Genomic DNA, 20,167 nt, shown 5'->3' on the forward strand with positions numbered 1-20,167 from the left:
TTTTTAGTAGAGACGGGGTCTCACCATGTTGAGTAGGCTGGTCTCAAACTCCTGACCTCAAGGGATCTGCCCGCCTCAGCCTCCCAAAGTGCTAGGATTACAGGCCTGAGCCACCAAAACTGACCATGCATCTGGATATATTTTGAAGGTCAAACCAGCAAACAGAAATATGAAAGAAAATGTCACATCAACAATGACTGCAAGGTCAGGGGAATAGCAAAATAGATTTGCCGTTTACTGATATGTGGGAGTTTATTAATGTGTATCTTTGGGGGAAATACAATGCTTTCTTTATTTTTGTTTCATGTTAGATTATAAGGTTATAGTTATAACTTACATGCTTAAGAATTCTGAGGACTATTTTAGGGTGCTCCTTTTCTTCTTCCAGTTCTTCCCAGTAACCAAACTCTGAAACTTCTTTTTCAAGAATGTCTCAAACACCTCATCCACCTTTGCCTTTTTACTCCTGTTCCTTCTTTTTGGTTCTCAGGACTTCTTGCCTGGAATCATACAACAGCCTCCTAAACTGGTCTCCAGCTTTCAGTCTTTGACCCTTCCAGTCTTTCTCACAATGACCAAAGGACAGACAGGATCGTCACCACCAGGTTCAAAAATCTTTGATGGCCTTTGTCTGCTAAATGAAGACCATGCGTCTCCGAGAGAGGCCCAGCATGTGCCCCTTGTTTTTTTGTGTTTTTGTTTTTGTTTTTGTTTTGTTTTGAGACAGGGTCTTGCTCCATCACCCAAGCTGGAATGCAGTGGCCCAATCTCAGCTCACGGCAACCTCCGCCTCCCGGATTGGAGCGATTCTCCTGCCTCAGCCTCCCGAGTAGCTGGGATTACAGGTGTGCACCACCATGCCCAGCTAATTTTTGTATTTTTAGTAGAGACAGGGTTTCCCCCTGTTGGCCAGGCTGGTCTCAAACTCCTGACCTCAAATGATCCACCAGCCTCAGCCTCCCAAAGTACTGGGATTACAGATGTGAGCTACCATGTCTGGCCCACCTTGTTTTTATCTTGTATGCTCCTTGCCTCTCTTTGCACCATCCGCTCCTCCCAGTCCTTCTCCAGCCCCCATACACATTTCTAACTGTGCATGTCAAAATGTTACCAATCCTTTCACAGCCATCACTCCAATGAAGGCTTCAAGCTTCACCCAGTGAGAATAATCCTTCCTCCCTTACATATTTACAACCTTTGGGCCTCTACTTAACACTGTGTGTTAGTTATTTATTTTTATTTTTCTATGTCTCCTTTTGGGTAGTGACTTACTGTATGAGAATACAGAAGGCCAGGCGTGGTGGCTCACACCTGTAATCTCAACACTTTGCGAGGCTGAGGCAGGAGGATTGCTGGAGGCCAGGAGTTGGAAACCAGCCTGGGAAACAGCGATATAAATTTTGCTGTAATTAATTTAAAAAATTTTTTTTAAATAGCTGGTGTGTGGTGGCACACATCTGTAGTCCCAGCTACCTAGGAGGCTGAGGTAGGAGGATCACTTGAGCCCAGGAGGTCAAGGCTGCAGTGAGCCATGATTGCGCCACTGCACTGCGGTCTGGGTGACAGAATAAAACTCTGTCTCAAAAAAAAAAAAAAAATACTGGGTCGGGCGCAGTGGCTTACACCTGTAATCCCAGCACTTTGGGAGGTAGAGGCAGGAGGATCAGTTGAGCCCAGGGGTTCAAGACAAGCCTGGGTGACAAGGCAAGACCTCTGTGTCTACAAAAATATTAAAAATTAAATTAAAGGGTATATACCCAAAATAATATAAATCATTCTATTACAAAGATACACGCACAGGTATGTTCATTGCAGCACTATTCACAATAGCAAAGACATGGAGTTAACCCAAATGTCCATCAGTGATAGACTGGATAAAGAAAATGTGGTACATATATACCACGCACTACTATACAGTCATAAAAAGGAGCAAGATCATGTCCTTGGCAGGGACATGGATGGAGCTGGAAGCCATTGTCCTCAGCAAACTAATGCAGGAACAGAAAACCGAACACCGCATGTTGTCACTTATAAGTGGGAGATGAACAATGAGAACACATGGATACAGGGAGGGGAACACACTGGGCCCTGTCGGGGGAGTGGGGTGGAGGGAGGGAGAGCATTAGGAAAAATAGTTAAAGTATGTGAGGCTTAATACCTGGGTGATGGGTTGACAGGTGCAGCAAACCACCATGGCACACGTTTACCTATGTAAAAAACCTGCACATCCTGCACATGTATCCCAGAACTAAAAATAAAAATTAAATTTAAAATAAAAATTTTAGAAAACATCGAATTTGTCTTATAAACCAGGCATCCACAGGGTTCAGTAGAGTCATTCTCCTAATTGGTCCCTAAAAAATATTTGTTGTGGGCTTTAATAGCCAAATGCTGCTGCATTGAGAATGGTCTTAATATTGAGAAAAGGTTCTGCAGGATTTGGGGTTGGCCCTCACATAAACAGTAAACATATACACATTCATTTTTCAACTGCATTTTCCCTTATATTATTATCATAGTCTGTTTAAAACGAAACTACCCAAACAATGTATTTTAAAGGTCATATTCAAATACTATCATAAATATAAGCTTCTCTAGAGTAATATTTAGAAAACATTGTAAAATAAATTAGATGTTTGCTTCCTCTGAGGCCAAGCAGGTTTTCATTTTCTTGTGCAAATAAAAAATATTGATTTTTCCTTTTTGTCTGAGGAAAAAAACAATCTTTAAAATATACTAGGCAGACTGCTTATGTGCTACAGAAGCCAGATGTCTCAGAGCACTGAAATAGAAAAATTAGTGCTGAATCTCATAATGTAAGAATATCTTAAGGGAAAAGTGACAAATGTTGTGATTTGGAAACTTGAGGCTAGCTAGTTAGATTCTGCCTAATATCAGGGGCACCTCCAGGATTTGCTTCACTGCTTATATTAATGTTATTGGTCTCAATGTCTTTTTCTTACTAGATTGTTGCCTCTAAAGCCACACTTTACTCCTGTGTATTAACATTATTTGTATAGGGCCGGGTGCAGGGGCTCATGCCTGGAATCCCAGCAATTTGAGAGGCCAAGGCAGGAGGATCGTTTGAGCTCAGGAGTTGGAGACCAGTGTGGGCAAGACCCTGCCTCTATAAAAATAAAATAAAATAATAAAATAATTGGGGTAAATATATTTTTCTGCACTAGATTATACATTTCTTGAGGGTGATATTCCGTAAAATTATTGGCATAAATATTTGTCCCCACTAGATTTTAAGTTCCTGGAGGGCAGGAACTGTGCTTTCTTTATACTCCCCATGGCTCTTACCATAGTGCTTTGCACTCAGCATTCCCTCAAGCAATCTTCACTTCATCTCGCCCCTTGACTACTACTCCTTTCAACTTTTCTTCCTTTGCCAAAGGACACTAAAATACCCAAGTGCTATCTATGATTTAAAACCTTGTATTTCTTGTAATACAGGTTCAGAAGCTGAAACGGAGATCCAAAATAATAGTAGTTTAAACAGCCCAGGTGTAAGCTTCCCAAGACTTACTCCTGCAATCTATCCTACCTGCACAGGTGATTCTGGGCTACTGTGTATGGTTGTGCAGGATGTGTACTGCACAACTCTACGGAGTCCCATTCACACTGTGGTCTATAGGAATGGTGCTCACAACTGCACGGCTGTATTCAGCAGCCCTGGAGCTGCTCCATGGTGGTAAATATCCATGTTCCTTTATTTTAATTGCTCCATTATTCTTAGGGAGTGTCAAGATCCATCATGTCCTAAGATGGATCGCTGGCTTGACATCCATATCCCACTAAGGGCATGCTTACTGGAAGCTGCGTGTCACTTCCACTCACATTCTGTTGACTAGAACTTACTCATACAGCCATGCCTCACTAGGAGAGAGACTGAAAAATATCTTTAGTCTCAGTGCCAAGTTAAAACTGAAGGGTTCGATTACTAGAAAAATGGAGAACTGATTTGGGGGACAACTAGAAGTCTCTACTACAAGCCAGAATGCCACCTTTCATTTTGGAAAGTCACTTTCATTTCAATTTCTACAGTCTTTATTACAACCATCACTACGCCTTGACTCCTGACAGCACAGCGCTTTTTCAGGCCCACTTTATTTGTTGCCTGACCTCCTGCAACAGTCTTCTAATATTTCCCTGCCTCTAGCCACTCAACTCCAATCTATGACTGATGGGAAATGCCAGATAACCTGATCCAAATCCATCTCTCCATTCTTAATTTTTCCTGCTCTTACACATGCTTTTGCTTGATTCCAGCTGAATTCCTCGTTCCTCCTTGTACATTCTGTATCTTCTTACCTGTGGCTTTTTGTTTGTTTGTTTGTTTGTTGAGATGGAGTCTCGCTCTGTCACCTAGGCTGGAGTGCAGTGGCACTATCTCAGCTCACTGCAACCTCTGCCTTTCAGGTTCAAGCAATTCTCATGCCTCAGCCTCCCAAGTAGGTGTGATTATAGGTGCGTGCTACCACACCTGGCTATTTTTTTTTTTTTTTGTAGTTTTAGTAAAGATGGGGTTTCACCATGTTGGCCAGGCTGGTCTTGAACTCCTGACCTGAAGTGATCTACCCGCTTCGGCCTCCCAAAGTGCTGTGATTACAAGCGTAAGCCAGAGCACCCAGCTGACTTGTGACTTTTCTCAGACTGTTTCTTTGCCAAATTGCCTTTCTGCCCTGATTCCATGTCACTATCTTAATTGCCTTTTCAGTCACAGCTCAAACTACCCACCCCCATCACTCATTACCTGACCCTTAGTCAGATCAGTTCTACTTCAAGTAAATATCCATATACTAATTTTTACTTCTTATTTACATGCAATTGTGTGGTAAAAGGTACATATTTTAAGGATCCAATTCAAAATATTTTTAATATCTGTATATACCTATTGTGGTTGGCAAAATGTTGGTCCCCATGACTCTCACCTAGTGTCACATCTGTGAACATGTGACATTACAGGCCAAAAGGGACACTGCAGGAGTAATTAAGGTTACTAATCAGTTGACTTTAAGACAGGAATATTATCGTGGATCATCCAGGAAGGCCCAGTGTAATCGCATGAGCCCTTAAAAGTTAATCTTTCTTTTTTTTTATTGAGACGGAGTCTCACTGTATCACCTAGGCTGGAGTACAGTGGTGTGATCTTGTCTCACTGCAACCTCCGCCTCCTGGGTTCCAGTGATTCTCCTGTCTCAGCCTCCCAATTAGCTAGGAGTACAGGTGTGTGCCACCACACCCAGCTAATTTTTATATTTTTAGTAGAAACAGGGTTTCACTGCTGTCTCTCTCTTGCCACCTTGTGAAGAAGCTACCTGTTTCCCCTTCCCCTTCCGCCATGATTGTAAGTTTCCTGAGGCCTCCCCAGCCATACAGAACTGTGAGTCAATGAAATTTCTTTCCTTTATAAACTACCCAATCATGGGTATTTCTTTATAGCAGTATGAGAATGGACTAATACAGAGACAAAAAGAAAAAAGAAAAGAAAAGAGTGGGACTGAAAGCACACAAATCCCTGCATGTGTGACAGACCAGAGACTCCTTTCTCTGGTCTTATAATAGTGATTGTATATCCAAGCAACCTTGAAATGAAAAGAGCTCCTGATATATACCGTAGGCAGCATTTCATTTTGGTGGAAGAAAGAAAGGTCTATTTAATAAATGCTGCTGGCATACTCTGAAATCAATGCAGGCAAAAATACAATTAGATTTCTATCCTATGCCATGAACGATCAAAATTTCCAATGAAAAGAAAGTTAGTCAAGCCATAAAAGAAGAAAATAGAAGAGAGTGTACTTAAGATTTGGAGGTGCCTAGGTCTTCTAAGCAAAACATAAAATCAGGGGAAAGATAGAATTTTGTACACAAAAATTTGAATGTCCTATAAGACAAAAGCCATCATAAACAAAGCCAAACACATGCACCTGATGGAAAGAAACATACATGGCAAAAAATGCACGTACATAACTTATCTATGCACTTACAAATCATTAAAAAAAGACTCATCATCCAAGAGAATACTGTGCAAACAACATGGAAGAGCAATTCACAGGAAAAATACAAATAGTAAGACCTGAAACCATAAAAACCCTAGAAGAACACCTAGGCAATACCATTCAGGACATAGGCATAAGCAAAGACCTCACGACTAAAACATAAAGCAATGGCAACAAAAGCCAAAATTGACAAATGGGATCTAATTAAACTAAGAAGCTTCTGCACCACAAAACAAACTATCATCAGAGTAAACAGGTAACCTACAGAATGGGAGAAAATGTTTGTAATCTATCCATCTGAGAAAGGGCTAATATCCAGAATCTACAAGGAACTTAAACAAATTTACAAGAAAAAAACAAACAACCCCATCAAAAAGTGGGCAAAGGATATGAACAGACACTTCTCAAAAGAAGACATTTATGCAGCCAACAAACATATGAAAAAAAGCTCATCATCACTGATCATTAGAGAAATGCAAACCAAAACCACAATGAGATACCATCTCACACCAGTTAGATGGTGATCATTAAAAAGTCAGGAAACAACAGATGCTGGAGAGGATGTGGAAATGGGAACGTTTTTACACTGTTGGTGGGAGTGTAAATTAGTTCAACCATTGTGGAAGACAGTGTGGCAATTCCTCAAGGATCTAGAGCCAGAAATACCATTTGACCCAGCAATCCTATTACTGGCTATATACCCAAAGGATTAGAAATCATTCTACCATAAAGACACATACACAAGTATGTTTATTGTAGCACTATTCACAATAGCAAAGACTTGGAACCAACCCAAATGCCCATCAATGATAGGCTGGATAAAGAAAATGTGGCACATATACACCATGGAATACTATGCAGCCACAAAAAGGATGAGTTCATGTCCTTTGCAGGGACATGGATGAAGCTGGAAACCATCATTCTCAGCTAACTAATACAGGAACAGAAAACCAAACACTGCATGTTCTCACTCATAAGTGGGAGTTGAACAATGAAATCGACACAGGGAGGGCAACAGCACACACTGAGGCCTATCGCAGGATGGGGGGCTAGGGGAGGGATAGCGTTAGGAGAAATAACTAATGTAGATGACAGGTTGATGGGTGCAGCAAACCACCATGGCACGTGTGTACCTATGTAACAAACCTGCACATTCTGCACATATACCCCAGAACTTAAAGTATAATAAAAAATGAAAAATACAAATAATACCAATAAGCACATGAAAATAGGTTCAATTTTAATAATCAAGTAAATACAAATTGGGAAAAAATAAAAAGATTTACACTATTTAGTGTGAGAATATGGGGAAATGTGCTCTCATACCTGGCTGCTGGAATTAAACTGATGTAGTTTTTGTGGGAGGAGTACAACTAGCAGCATCTACCAGAATCTAAAATGTGTGTTCCCCTTAATCTATCAATTTTACACTTAGGAATCTCTCATATGTGCATTCAACCGCACAAAGATACAACATACTTGGGCCTGTTACTTAACCTGATTCTTCCTTGGTGATACTGATTCTTGCTTGGTGAAATGTTTATGACAGTAGTGTATGCCTCATTTCATTGTTATTTTCAAATGAGATAAAGAATACATGGCCTGTACAAAGTAAATTTCAATGAATAGATCAAAATCAAATCTTGACGTTACTGTGATCCCCATTTTATTGTGACATGGTTGTTTTATGTACCTATATAGTTATAAATTATAAACAAAATGTCCATCAATAGAGAAGTATATATTATGAAAACGCATGTACATATACGTACATATGCACACAAATCTCCAAGAAGCTGTTCAAGCAAAATAGTAAAGTCACAAAATATTTATAGATTATTTCCCTGTATTTATCCCTCTGCGTGTGTGTGTGTGTAAAGGGAAAGAATGAATGAGTGTTTTATAAAGATTTAAAAGGACGCCAAAGTTTTATTAATGCCCTAAGTATTGGGCAAAGGGAATAACTGAAGAGGTACTGACACTGTTTTACCCTGTGTTATTCTGTATTGTTTGAATTCTGTCCTTTCTGAACAGCCTGTAGAGGTTTAATGTTCCCATTAAAACCAGTGAACTTGCCTCATCCAAAACCACAACAGCTGAACCGTTTGACTTCAATCAATTCTAAGCAACTTGGTCATCTGTTTTTTTCAGATTAGAAATGATAGAAGATAATTTATAATCCGTATTTTGCATACCAATGAGGATGAAAGAGACTTACATCTCATTTTTTTAAAAAGGGACTTAGGATAATGAGCTTAAATTTTTTGAAAAATCATCTTATTCCTAACAATGGCAGATTAATGAAGCATTTCTGAACGAAATTATTTCATCATATCTGATTAAGGAACTCTTCATTTGAGAAAGCTATAAAATTTTTATATTCTTCAGTTAATACTATACACAAAAGATTCTAAAATGGCTAACCGTACGGTGAAGGATGCACACAGCATCCACGGCACTAACCCTCAATATCTGGTGGAGAAGATCTTTGAACGCGAATCTATGAGTCCAAGTTCTGGAAAGAGGAGTGCTTTGGACTTACGGCTGAACTTGCAGTCGATAAAGCCATGGAGTTAAGGTTTGTGGGTGGCCTCTATGGTGGCAACATAAAACCAACACCCTTTCTGTGTTAAACCTTGAAGATGCTTCAAATTCAACCCGAGAAGGATATCATTGTAGAGTTTATCAAAAATGAAGATTTCAAGTATGTCCGCATGTTGGGGGCATTTTACGTGAGGCTAACAGGCATTGCAATTGATTGCTACAAGTACTTGGAGTCTTCCTACAATGACTATTGAAAAATCAAGAGCCAGAACCGAAATGAGGAGTTTGAATTGATGCATGTTGATGAGTTTGTTGATGAACTATTGCACAGTAAGAGAGTATGATATCATTCTGCCCCGGCTACAGAAACGCTATGTATTAGAGGAAGCTGAGCAACTGGAGCCTTGAGTTAGTGCTCTGGAAGAGGACATGGATGATGTGGAGTCCAGTGAAGAGGAAGAAGAGGAGGATGAGAAGTTGGAGAGTGCCATCAACTGATCACCGCCGGAGAAGCTACGGAGACTTGGACAAGTCCCGTTGCTCTCCCACACTGCGCTACAGAAGGAGTAGGAGTCGGTCTCCCAGAAGGTGGAATCGATCTCCCAAAAGGAGAAGTCCCTCCCTGCATCGAGAAAGGCATGGGAGCAAGAGTCCAAGACTTCACCGCAGCAGGTCCCGAGATTGGCAGCACAGATCCCATTCCAAGTCCCCAGGTCATCACTGTAGTCACAGACACAAGAACCACTCAAAGTCTCCCGAAAGGTCTTAGAAGAGCCACGAGAAGAGCCGGTGAGGGAATGAGTAATGGACTCAGTTTGGTTTTAGTCCACATGGCCTCCTGTGGATATAAGGATATGTCTATGTGGAAGGATTAAGATCTCCCCAAGGTAGATATAAGAATATTTTAGTTTTTTGGCCGGGCGCAGTGGCTCACACCTGTAATCCCAGCACTTTGGGAGGCTGAGGTGGGCAGATCACAAGGTCAGGAGTTCGAGACCAGCCTGGCCAATATGGTGAAACGCTGTCTCTACTAAAAATACAAAAATTAGCCAGGCGTGGTGGCGGACGCCTGTAGTACTAGCTACTCTGGAGGCTGAGGCAGGAGAATCACTTGAACCCAGGAGGCGGAGGTTGCAATGAGCCAAGATCAGGCCACTGTACTCCAGCCTGGGTGACAGAGCGAGATTCCATCTCAAAAAAAAAAAAGAATATTTTAGTTTTTTTCTTATCAAGTTTCTCAACCTTTATTTTTAATGAAGGAAGTGCTGAGTTTTGTTTCTCTTTTTAATCATAATCAACATTAGTTTTTGACCCAAGTAACGTTGACTGTATTCAAACTTATGAGAGTAGAGAGGATCTGGAGGTTGGGGATATGAATGACAAGGAAAGGATGTGGCCACCTGATAACCCTTTCCCTTTTTATCAAACCGGACACACCTGTTTCCCATTTATCTGTAGTTTAGTTTTTGGTTTGTTGTGGTTGGAACTGCTTTGAGAATCCTGGGATTTGTACTGCTGCTATTATTCAAAGACCAAATGAGTAAAACATAGTAGCTCCTAACTTTTTTCCAGCAGCAGCAAGTGGTAATAAACATGAAAACTGGTTAGCAGCAGTTTTGAAAGAACAGAATGCATTCAAATTTAAGGCTTCTTCTGGGTCATCAAAGCCAGTTTCATCAAACAGTTCAACAGAGAGTGGCACTTAATACCCTTTATACAGCCCATGGTTTCATAGTTTCATTTGTTCTTGCCCACAAGCTTGAAATCCAGGTTAAGGTATCCAGCCTTTATCACATAAGCATTGACATTATCCAGGCCTAGTCAGTAGCAGTAGGGTAACAGGATTGAAAAAGATTTGATGGAGAGGAAAGTATCTAATACTAGTCATGGTTTTGACCTAAATTGCTAGACAATAGTGCCATTCACAAAGTCAGAAAATACAGCAGGAAGAGATGGCTTTAAGAGGGGCAGAGAATTAGAAGATTGTGGTAGTAATGAAAATGATGCATTCAGTTTAACAAGTTTAATTTGAGACAGCTATGGTATAGCTAAAAAATAAAAAGCCCATAAAGTTGGAGATAGGGACTAGAGTTTAACATAGCAATCTAGGCCAGAATTGACAATGTTTAAGTAATTGTGGAATCTGTCAATAAGACTCTCCAGAATGTTTATATATATATGTATCAGAAATCCACACAACAGAACCATAGGCAACACCCACACTGGTGACAGGAAGAAGTAGAAGTCACCTATTGAAAACTGGAATGACCCGTTCAGAAAGACAGGCAAATTAGGAGAGAGTACATGAAAGAAGCCAGGGGTCAAGAATGCAGAAGCAAAGGAAGGACTAAAAAGCCTCCATGGACATTGATAATCAAGAGATTATTAAGATCTTTGCTAGAAGAGTTCCTTTACCTGTACTTAATTCCCTTAAAAAAAAGAAAAGTGATTGAATGACTTCCAGCAACTGTAGTCCCGGCAGGAACTGTGGAGACCAGCTGCCCTGTGGGATCCAGTTTTCCTTGGGAGGTTGTATCTGGTCATAAGATAAACATTCTATACATTCTATTGCCTGCTCTTGAACTGAAAGACTTCAACAGTATTAAAGCATTTTTTAATCTTATTTGAGCTTTCATATTCTTCAGTGATTCCTTTCATAATACCTGAGTTAATAAAAGTGGTCTGGGGCCGGGCACGGTGGCTCACGCCTGTAATCACAGCACTTTGGGAGGCTGAGGCGGGCGGATCACAAGGTCAGGAGATCGACACCATCCTGGCTAACACAGTGAAACCCCGTCTCTACTAAAAAATACAAAAAATTAGCCGGGAGTGGTGGCGAGCGCCTGTAGTCCCAACTACGCGGGAGGCTGAGGCAGGAGAATGGCGTGAACCCGGGAGGTGGAGCTTGCAGTGAGCCGAGATCGCGCCACTGCACTCCAGCCTGGGCGACAGAGCGAGACTCCGTCTCAAAAAAAAAAAAAAAAAAAAGTGGTTTGAGAGAGTGAAAGATCTCTTATGGTTTCTGATACAACTGTATAGGACTACCTTTTAAGATTAAATATAAGCATCCCTACATAAATGTAAAAAAACCTATACATAAAAATTAATAATATGCTGACTCAATGGAATTCTCTAAACGATCTTCTGTTGTGAAGATAGTAGCCGCACCGCCCCCCATCTTCCCTGGGGCATGTCAGGAGAGCAAAACCCCACTCTGCCTGCCCTAACAGCACTGCCAGGGGGTCAGGCTGGCTGGAAAATATCTCACCAGTGTCTGCCTCATTTGAAATAGTCACTGTCAAAAACCATGACCAGCAGGATACTGTATATATCCTAAAGGAGACCGAGCTACAGGAAACTCCTCTTTACTATGCTACTACTGAATAAACTGTAGCCTTCTACTTCTAATTCAAGATAAGGAAAACAGCTAAACGCTGGCAATCTTTCAAACTAGTAAAAGCAGAAAAAACTACGGGAAAAGAAAATTTTACCAAAACTATTCTCCGTAAGTGATTCCGTCCAAGAAACAAGTGAGGTAGGACTTCAGAAATTTCACCTGCTATGACTGTTATAAAACCATGAAAAGCAGCAATGTCATTAGTAACAACTAACATTTATTGGGTACTTATATGGGCCCACCTCTGTGCTACAAATTTATAGATATTACATCATTTGCTCCTCAGACAACTGCTTATTCCATTTTACAGATAAGGACTTTGAGGCTTAAGAAAGTTAAGTACTTTTTCTTTCAGTTCTATTGGGTACACTAAATATGGCATTTGTTAGAAGTTAAGTACTTTTTCCCAAATCTAAGGCAAGTTTCACTCCAAAGCCTTGGCTCTTAACCATGACACATGTCACCATTCCACTACTGTGACTGAGAATCTGTGAAGACCTGTCATGAGAATCTAATAACAATTATACCCTAAGGTATTGTGTCTAACTTTTATTTTGTTAGTATTTGCCAAAAAAAAAATACTTAATAAGTCCATCTTTACCCCTAAGAAAATACTGATAGCTTTAAACTAACCCATTTCATTTACTACAAGATTATAATTGGTACTAAAACAGCTCAGCCTTAATTCCTAAAACATTAAAATATATGTGGTAAAGGTTTCTTTGCCTCTGTTAATGTTTATCCAACTAAAAATATACTTTTAAGTAAGAAAACTGAATGTTTCCAAAGTTTACAAGCATCTAAAGTTAATTCACAGAAATATTTTTAAATGCTTTTTCAAAAACAAATAAAGCAAATAATATCTCCATAAACATATTAAATAATTTGGAATTTTCCAGGGGCAAAAATGCGTCATAACTATAAACATACAACTTGTAAAATAACCAACATTTTCACAAAATAATACTTTCTAAAAAACCTTTTTACTAGCTATGCTCACACCTAACTTTTGCTACTTGTCATTGTTATTTCATACAACTTACAAACAGACAGTATCAACTCTACTTCAAAAAAATGTATTTTGAACTTTCTGAAATTTCAATTCTCACAAGATGTAATACTTTTTCTTTTTTTTCTTTTTCTTTTCTTTTCTTTTTTTTTTTTTTTTTTTTTGAAGACAGAGTCTCGCTGTCACCCAGGCCACATTGTAGTGGGTAATACATTTTTAATGCTATAAATTGTTTCTATATGAAATTTCTCATATATGTTGATTTTGGAATTGAAACAAAAAAGTAATACCAGATTTTGGAGCAAATGTTTATGCATACAAGTTACGAATAAAGTTGTAACTTTGAAAAAATGAATGTTTGATGCACGAAAATCTACAGACTCCAGGCTAACAACTGTTCTAAATTCAGTTTTTCTTCTTGAGTACACTTAATGTAAATTAACCTTTCCATTTCCTCATTTCTTAAGATTAATTTCTGTTGCAAGGGTTTTAATAAAGTTCAGCGAAAGTTTAACTCAATAAAATCAGCTTCTGAACACATTAATTTAGCCACAAACCTATTTTAGTCAACTTATGATTAGATTAAAAATCATTCAGACAAATTATTTTGTGTCTTGCATATTTCTCAAAAACAGAAGCATATGCATTTCCCACAATCTTGAATATATTCCTCCCTAAGAAGGGGTGTGTGTGTGTGTGTGTGTGTGTGTGTGTGTGTGTGTGTGTCTGTTTGTGGGAGGGCTTATTAAAAAAAAAGACACTAGAAGTTCTATTTAAGTAACAACACTACTACAAAAAAATTTTTTTTTCTTTTTTTTTTTTTTTTTTTTGACACAAGGTCTCACTCTGTTGCCCAGGCTGGAGTGCAGAAGCGTGATTATAGCTCACTGCAGCCTCAGCCTCCTAGGCTCAAACAATCCCACACCTCAGCTTCCCAAGTAGCTGGAAGTACAGGCATGTGACACCATGCCTGGTTAATTTTTGTATTTTTTGTACAGACAGTTTCGTCATGTTGCCCAGGCTGGCCTCCAACTCCTGGACTTAAGTCATCCACCCACCTCAGCCTCCCAAAGTGCTGGGATTACAGGCGTGAGCCACCACACCTGGCCCAAAAATATTTTAACCTACTTTCTAGTTGTATCTAGTTTATATCATGTCATCAAATTCAATACAACAAAAATACCTAATTGGATTTTACGATTGTTTTTTCTTCCCAGCCACACTACTTAAGTGAATGGTCAGATAAATTGTATGGTTATAAAATATTTGCTAAAAATATCTGTCAGACTATGGACTATGCAGATATCATTTTTCATTTTTATAAACTTAAAACTACACTGTTCATTTTGATAAGAAACAATAGACATGACTGTAGGAATGCTGATTTTTTTTTCTTTCGGTTCTATTGAGTACACTGAATATGGCATTTGCTAGAAGTCATTCCCCACCTCCCCACCCCTTCTTGATATTTCTTTTTTTTCTCCCCACCCTGAGACAGAGTTTCGCTCTTGCCCAGGCTGGAGTACAGTGATGTGATTTTGGCTCACTGCAACCTTCGCCTCCTGGGTTCAAGTGATTCTCCTGCCTCAGCCTCCCAAGTAGCTGGGATTACAGGCATCCACCACCACGTTTGGCTAATTTTTATATTTTTAGTAGAGACAGGGTTTCACCTTGTTGGCCAGGCTGGTCTCAAACTCCTGACCTCAAGTGATCCACCCGCCTCGGCCTCCCAAAGTGCTGGGATTATAGGTTGAGCCACCGCACCCAGCCTTTCTCTATTGCAGTGTTTCTTAAAGGCTGGTGGGACAACTAAGCTGCTTGCACCATAACTGCCTAGCACCTTGCTAAAAAATTCAGGTTTCTTAGCCCCACAGCTGCTGATGCAAAATCTCTAAAGAAAGAATTCTGAGGTCCTCAGATGATTAATAAATGATTTGATCTGAAAACCGTTTTTCTACAGTCATTATCCTCAAAGTTAAACCACAAAATGTTAACTGAATTTAAGAAAAATTGTTAATTTTCGAATTGTACAAATTGAATTTAAATATGTAAGGCACGATCATTAATCAAGAAACAAAATGTATTTTTACAGCAATCTCAGTTTTGCATTATATATAATTTTAGCAAAGCAGGAGAAGATGGTAAGAGTATAAAGTAATGCGGAACAGAATGCTGCAGTTAAGAACTTTTGAGCAAAATGAAAGTATATTAATTAATACCCAGAATTTTCTAGGGTATAATCTAGAGGCGCAAACGTCGATGTGAAGGTTGAGTTCATAATATGCCTGGAAATTGCATATGCATAAATAATTTAGTGCTTTTTATGCGCTTAAAAAGACATCAGTCTTCATGTATGAGATCACAGCCATATTAATCTGGTTTTTAAAATCCAGGCAGGGTGTGGTGGCTCATGCCTGTAATCCTAGCACTTTGGGAGGCCGAAGTGGGTAGATCACTTGAGGTCAGTCAGGAGTTCGAGACCAGCCTGGCCAACATGGTGAAACCCCGTCTCTACTAAAAATACAAAAATTAGCCGGGCATGGAGGCGTATGCCTGTAATCCCAGCTACTTGGGAGGCTGAGGCAGGAGAATCACTTCAACCCGGGAGGCAGAGGTTGCAGTGAGCTGAGATCATGCTATTGCACTCCAGCCTGGGCAGCAAGAGCGAAACTCTGTCTCCATAAATAAATAAATAAATACATAAATAAATAAATAAATAAATAAATCCCAATGTCTTGTTTCACAAACTCCTATAAATTAGAACTCCTTCTATTATTAAAATACCCATGTGCAACCAAAACATTAAGAAACAAAGACCCTGAGACATGAAAGTTAACATCACCAGAAAATGGAACAATTTAATATTCCTGCCCAAAGGTACATAATTAAATCTAATCATTAGGAAACATCAAATGAACTCAAACGGAGGGACCAAACAAACTCAAATGGAGGGACTGTCTATAAAACAACGATCCTGTACTGTGGAAAATGTCCAAGTCACGAAAGGTGAAGAAAAACTAAGGAACCACTCTAGACTAAAAGAGATGATAACTAAATGTAATTGCTGACCCTGGATTGGATCTTGACCCAGAATATACATGTGCATGCATACATACATGTCAATGAGACTGGAATAAGGTCTACCAATTAGATAAAGGTATTGGATTCTTAAACTAAATATGGCCTGAGAAGCACTCTGTACTTCTATATTTGAGTCCTTGTGGACGAACTGTAACCTAGCTCAATAGGCGGACAAGATTGATAACCTAACTAGGAGTACGCACCTGTAACAACAGCTGAGTCTTGGCCAATCCCAGACGACGTACTTCAACCACTCACAGACTGCTAAGTGTTCAGACTGTGTTCAAGTAAGACAAATGCCAATATGTAACCAGTCCAGCTATTTCTGTACCTCACTGCCAATTTCTGTATGCCACTTCCCTTTTTTTGTCTATAAATTTGTTCTGACCACAGGGCATCCCTGGAGTCTGTCTGAATCTGCTGATTCTGGGGGCTGCCCGATTCACGAATCGTTGATTGCTCAATTAACCTCCTTTAAATTTAATTTGGCTGAAGTTCTTCTAATAACAGTATCAGTGTTGATTTCCTGATTTAGGTTATGGTACAGTGGCAAGGTAGCACGATGTCCTTGTTCTTAGGAAATATGCACTGAAGAAATTAGGGGTTAATGTTTCAACTTATTCTCAAATGGTTCAGGACATATTATGAACAGAGAGAGAGAAAACTATAGCAAACGGGGCAAAATATGAACAAGTGGGGAATTCAAGTGAAGGGTTTAGAGGTGCTTTTCCTTCTATTCTTAACAAATTTCCTGTAACTTTGAAATTATTTCAAAATAAAAAATGACCAAAATATTTTAAAAGCTATAACAGGAACACAAAAAAAATCTAAAATGTTTAGAATATATCTTTAAGCTTCATATCTAAAGGAGAGACCTATGTCTATTTAAATATTTTGTAAATTTAGACTAAAACTATAAACAAATTGAATTTTAAGTTCTATTCAATGCCTTCATACTAGAAATTACAAAACTGCATTGCTTATTTTTTATTCTATCAATTATATGTGTAATCCAAATCTAAATGTATGTGAAAGGTAAATACCTCTATACGTCCCATATGCATATGAAAAATATTTTAAATGTTGCCTTTTACAGTTATTTTTTTTCCTTCAAGGATCTCTTAATGATTTATTGTATTGGTCTCATCAACTATAACTGATTTTGTTATGAAGTAGTTTTAGTCCAGAATTCTGTCGATTTAGTGGTGCCCTAATATGCTTATACACATATGAGTAACAAAGAACCCATCCCATCAGATTATCAACACACTGTATTTGTTAAAGCACAGATAATTATTTTGCAATATGATTTACTAACCAATCTAACCCAGTAATTTTGCTAAAGGTTTACTGTGTAGGGGAGAGAGAGGTAAGATAAGAGGAAGATGTTAATTCCCTACAACAGGGCCTGACACACAGTGGGCATGAGATACATATTTGTGAAGAGGAAAAGGGATTATTGCAAAGTTTAGATCATTTGCAATATATCACTAGAAACTATGACATTGCAGCATAATAATTAGATGCTTAAAAATATAAAGATGAGAAAATAATGCTTCTGAAAATCTATAGATGTCAAGCAACAAAAACTCTTGGTGAAAATGACTTTCTTACCTTTCTGGCATGCTTTTTTAAAAAGCTAAAACTATCAAGGATGTTGCTATATTCATGTCGAATTAACATTTTGAAAAATATTTTTTAAAACTTGCATATTGTATAATATAGCAAGCTATAAAGCTATGAAAATCAAAAAACAATCAGAATATGAAGGAATTGTCACCAAATATAATTGAAAGTTGCTAGCATCAAAATTTCTTGATCTGTGTTTCAAATGCCCAAGTCTGCAGGACTGTATTCCAAAGTTCTGTCTGATACAAACCCTGACTTGGCTATTGAAAGTTATGGTCATTTATGGGGAAGGTCAAAAGAAGATGCAGTCACAGAAAACGGTGGAAACCAAAAATAAAAGCCCCGTCCCCCTGCAACACCCAATCATCTGAATGGACTTCCTCCTCAGCTAGGGCTCTTTTAAAATGTAACCTGAGAGACTGGTTCAGGCCATGACAGGAAGTGGGAGTCAGACATGCCTGATTATACATCTCCAGCATTAAAATCAGCACAGACTTTAAGTCTAAAACATTTTACAACTATTCTCTCTGAAGCCTGCTGCCTGGTGGCTTCGTGTGCAGGATAGAAATTTGGTCTCCACAACTTCTTTTTTTTTTTTTTTTTTTTCTGAGATGGGCTCTCACTCTCGCCCAGGCTGGAGTGCAGTGGCACGTTCTCAGCTCACTGCAACTTCCGTCTCCTGGGTTCAAGCAATTCTCCCACCTCAGCCTCCTGAACAGTTGGGATGACAGGGGTGTGCCAGCACACCCGGATAATTTTTGCATTTTTAGTAGAGATGGGGTTTCACTAAGGGAGGAGACCACCCCTCATATTGTCTTATGCCCAATTTCTGCCTCCAAAGAAAGAAGTAAAACTAAAAGGCAGAAATGAAATCCACAGGCAGACAGCCTGGCAACATACCCTGGGCCTGGTTAAAGATCGACCCCTTACCTAACCGGTTATGTTATCTAGAGATTCCAGACATTGTATAGAAAAGCATTGTGAAAATCCCTGTCCTGTTCTGTTCCATTCTGACTACTGGGGCATGCAGCCCCCAGTCACATACCCCCTGCTTGCTCAATCCATCACAACCCTCTCAGGCAGACCCGCTTAAGAGTTGTAAGCCCTTAAAAGGGACAGGAATTGCTCATTCGGGGAGCTCGGTTTTTGGAGACGTGAGTCTTGCTGAAGCTCCTGGCTGAATAAAGCCCTTCCTTCTTTAACTCGGTGTCTGAGGGGTTTTGTCTGCAGCTTGTCCTGCTACGTCACCATGTTGGCCAGGCTGGTCTCGAACTCCTGAGTCTCCACAACCTCTTATCGCAACCCAGACATTCCTTTCTGTTGAGCCCAGGTTTTTGGATAAACTCAACCAATTGTCAACCAGAACATTTTAAAATCTACCTATAAGCTGGAACCCCCACCCCCAAAATTGTCCTGCCTTTCTGGACCAAACCAATGTATTTCTTAAATGTATCTGACTGATGTCTCATGCCTCCCTAAAAATGTATAAAACCAACCTGAACCCCGACCACCTTAGACACATGTTCTCAGGACCTCCTAAGGGCTGTGTCATGGGCCATGGTCACTTATATTTGGCTCAGAATAAATCTCTTCAAATATTTTACAGAGTTTGACTCTTTTCTGTCAACACAAGTGTAAAGGAATTTCAAATATTTTTTCCTTTTAAAATCAACTACTGTTTAGCACTTCATTTTCCAAACAAATAACGTTTAGAATTGGTCGAATATAGAAGATAAACGAAATTTAAAGTTTAGGTGTACTTTGCATATGTTAAAGGGTCACCAAATAGTTTAATGCATTTTTTATTAAAGTGAATCACAATTCCTACTTCAAGATATTCCACAACATAAGAAGAAAAAGTATTACAGCCACTTGAAGGCAGTACTAGTTGAATTAATGCACATTTTAGAAATATGATTTAAAATATTTTTTGCAAGATAGGCATCTAATAAAATAAATATGTGAAATTCTCATACTATGTAACCAAAGGTAAAGACTCCCTGACAATTTCTTCCATATAAAAATCCAAGATGAAACTGATCACATAGAGTAAGAGCAGAATGAATGTTAGATCTTTTGAGAACTAGTAACTTAATCCATATTGCTCAACGAAACAGTCAGCTGCAGAGGAAACATTACAACGTAATGTAATAAAAGAAATAGCACCTTTGAAAAACCAAGTTATTTAAAGTAAAGGTTTGCAAAAATGTTCTGAACTACAAATCTCTGTGTGAAAATAATCTGTAAAGGAGGTGGTAACACAAAATCAAGTAATTTTTAGAAGTGTAATGTTATGTGTTGATTATAAATGGAAACAATACAGAACATTTAAAGCCAAAATTACACCTAGATATCTATAGTGGGGAAAAAAAGTTCCTTTTCTTTGAAAGTCACATATTTAATATTCTCTCAAAAACTGGGTTAGTAAATCAACATACTTGAATAAAGGAGGGAAATTTTTTAAAGGACCTATTTACAAATTAAGGCAGTTATGAAAGTAGG

The 20,167-nt window shown here is 38.9% G+C and overlaps 1 pseudogene; it reads left to right on the plus strand.

Moving 5' to 3' along the window:
* On the plus strand, positions 8,413 to 9,463 carry PRPF38AP2 (PRP38 domain containing A pseudogene 2; annotated as a pseudogene).

This window comes from Homo sapiens, chromosome 10 (genome assembly GCF_000001405.40).
Source record: "Homo sapiens chromosome 10, GRCh38.p14 Primary Assembly".
NCBI lineage: Eukaryota > Metazoa > Chordata > Mammalia > Primates > Hominidae > Homo > Homo sapiens.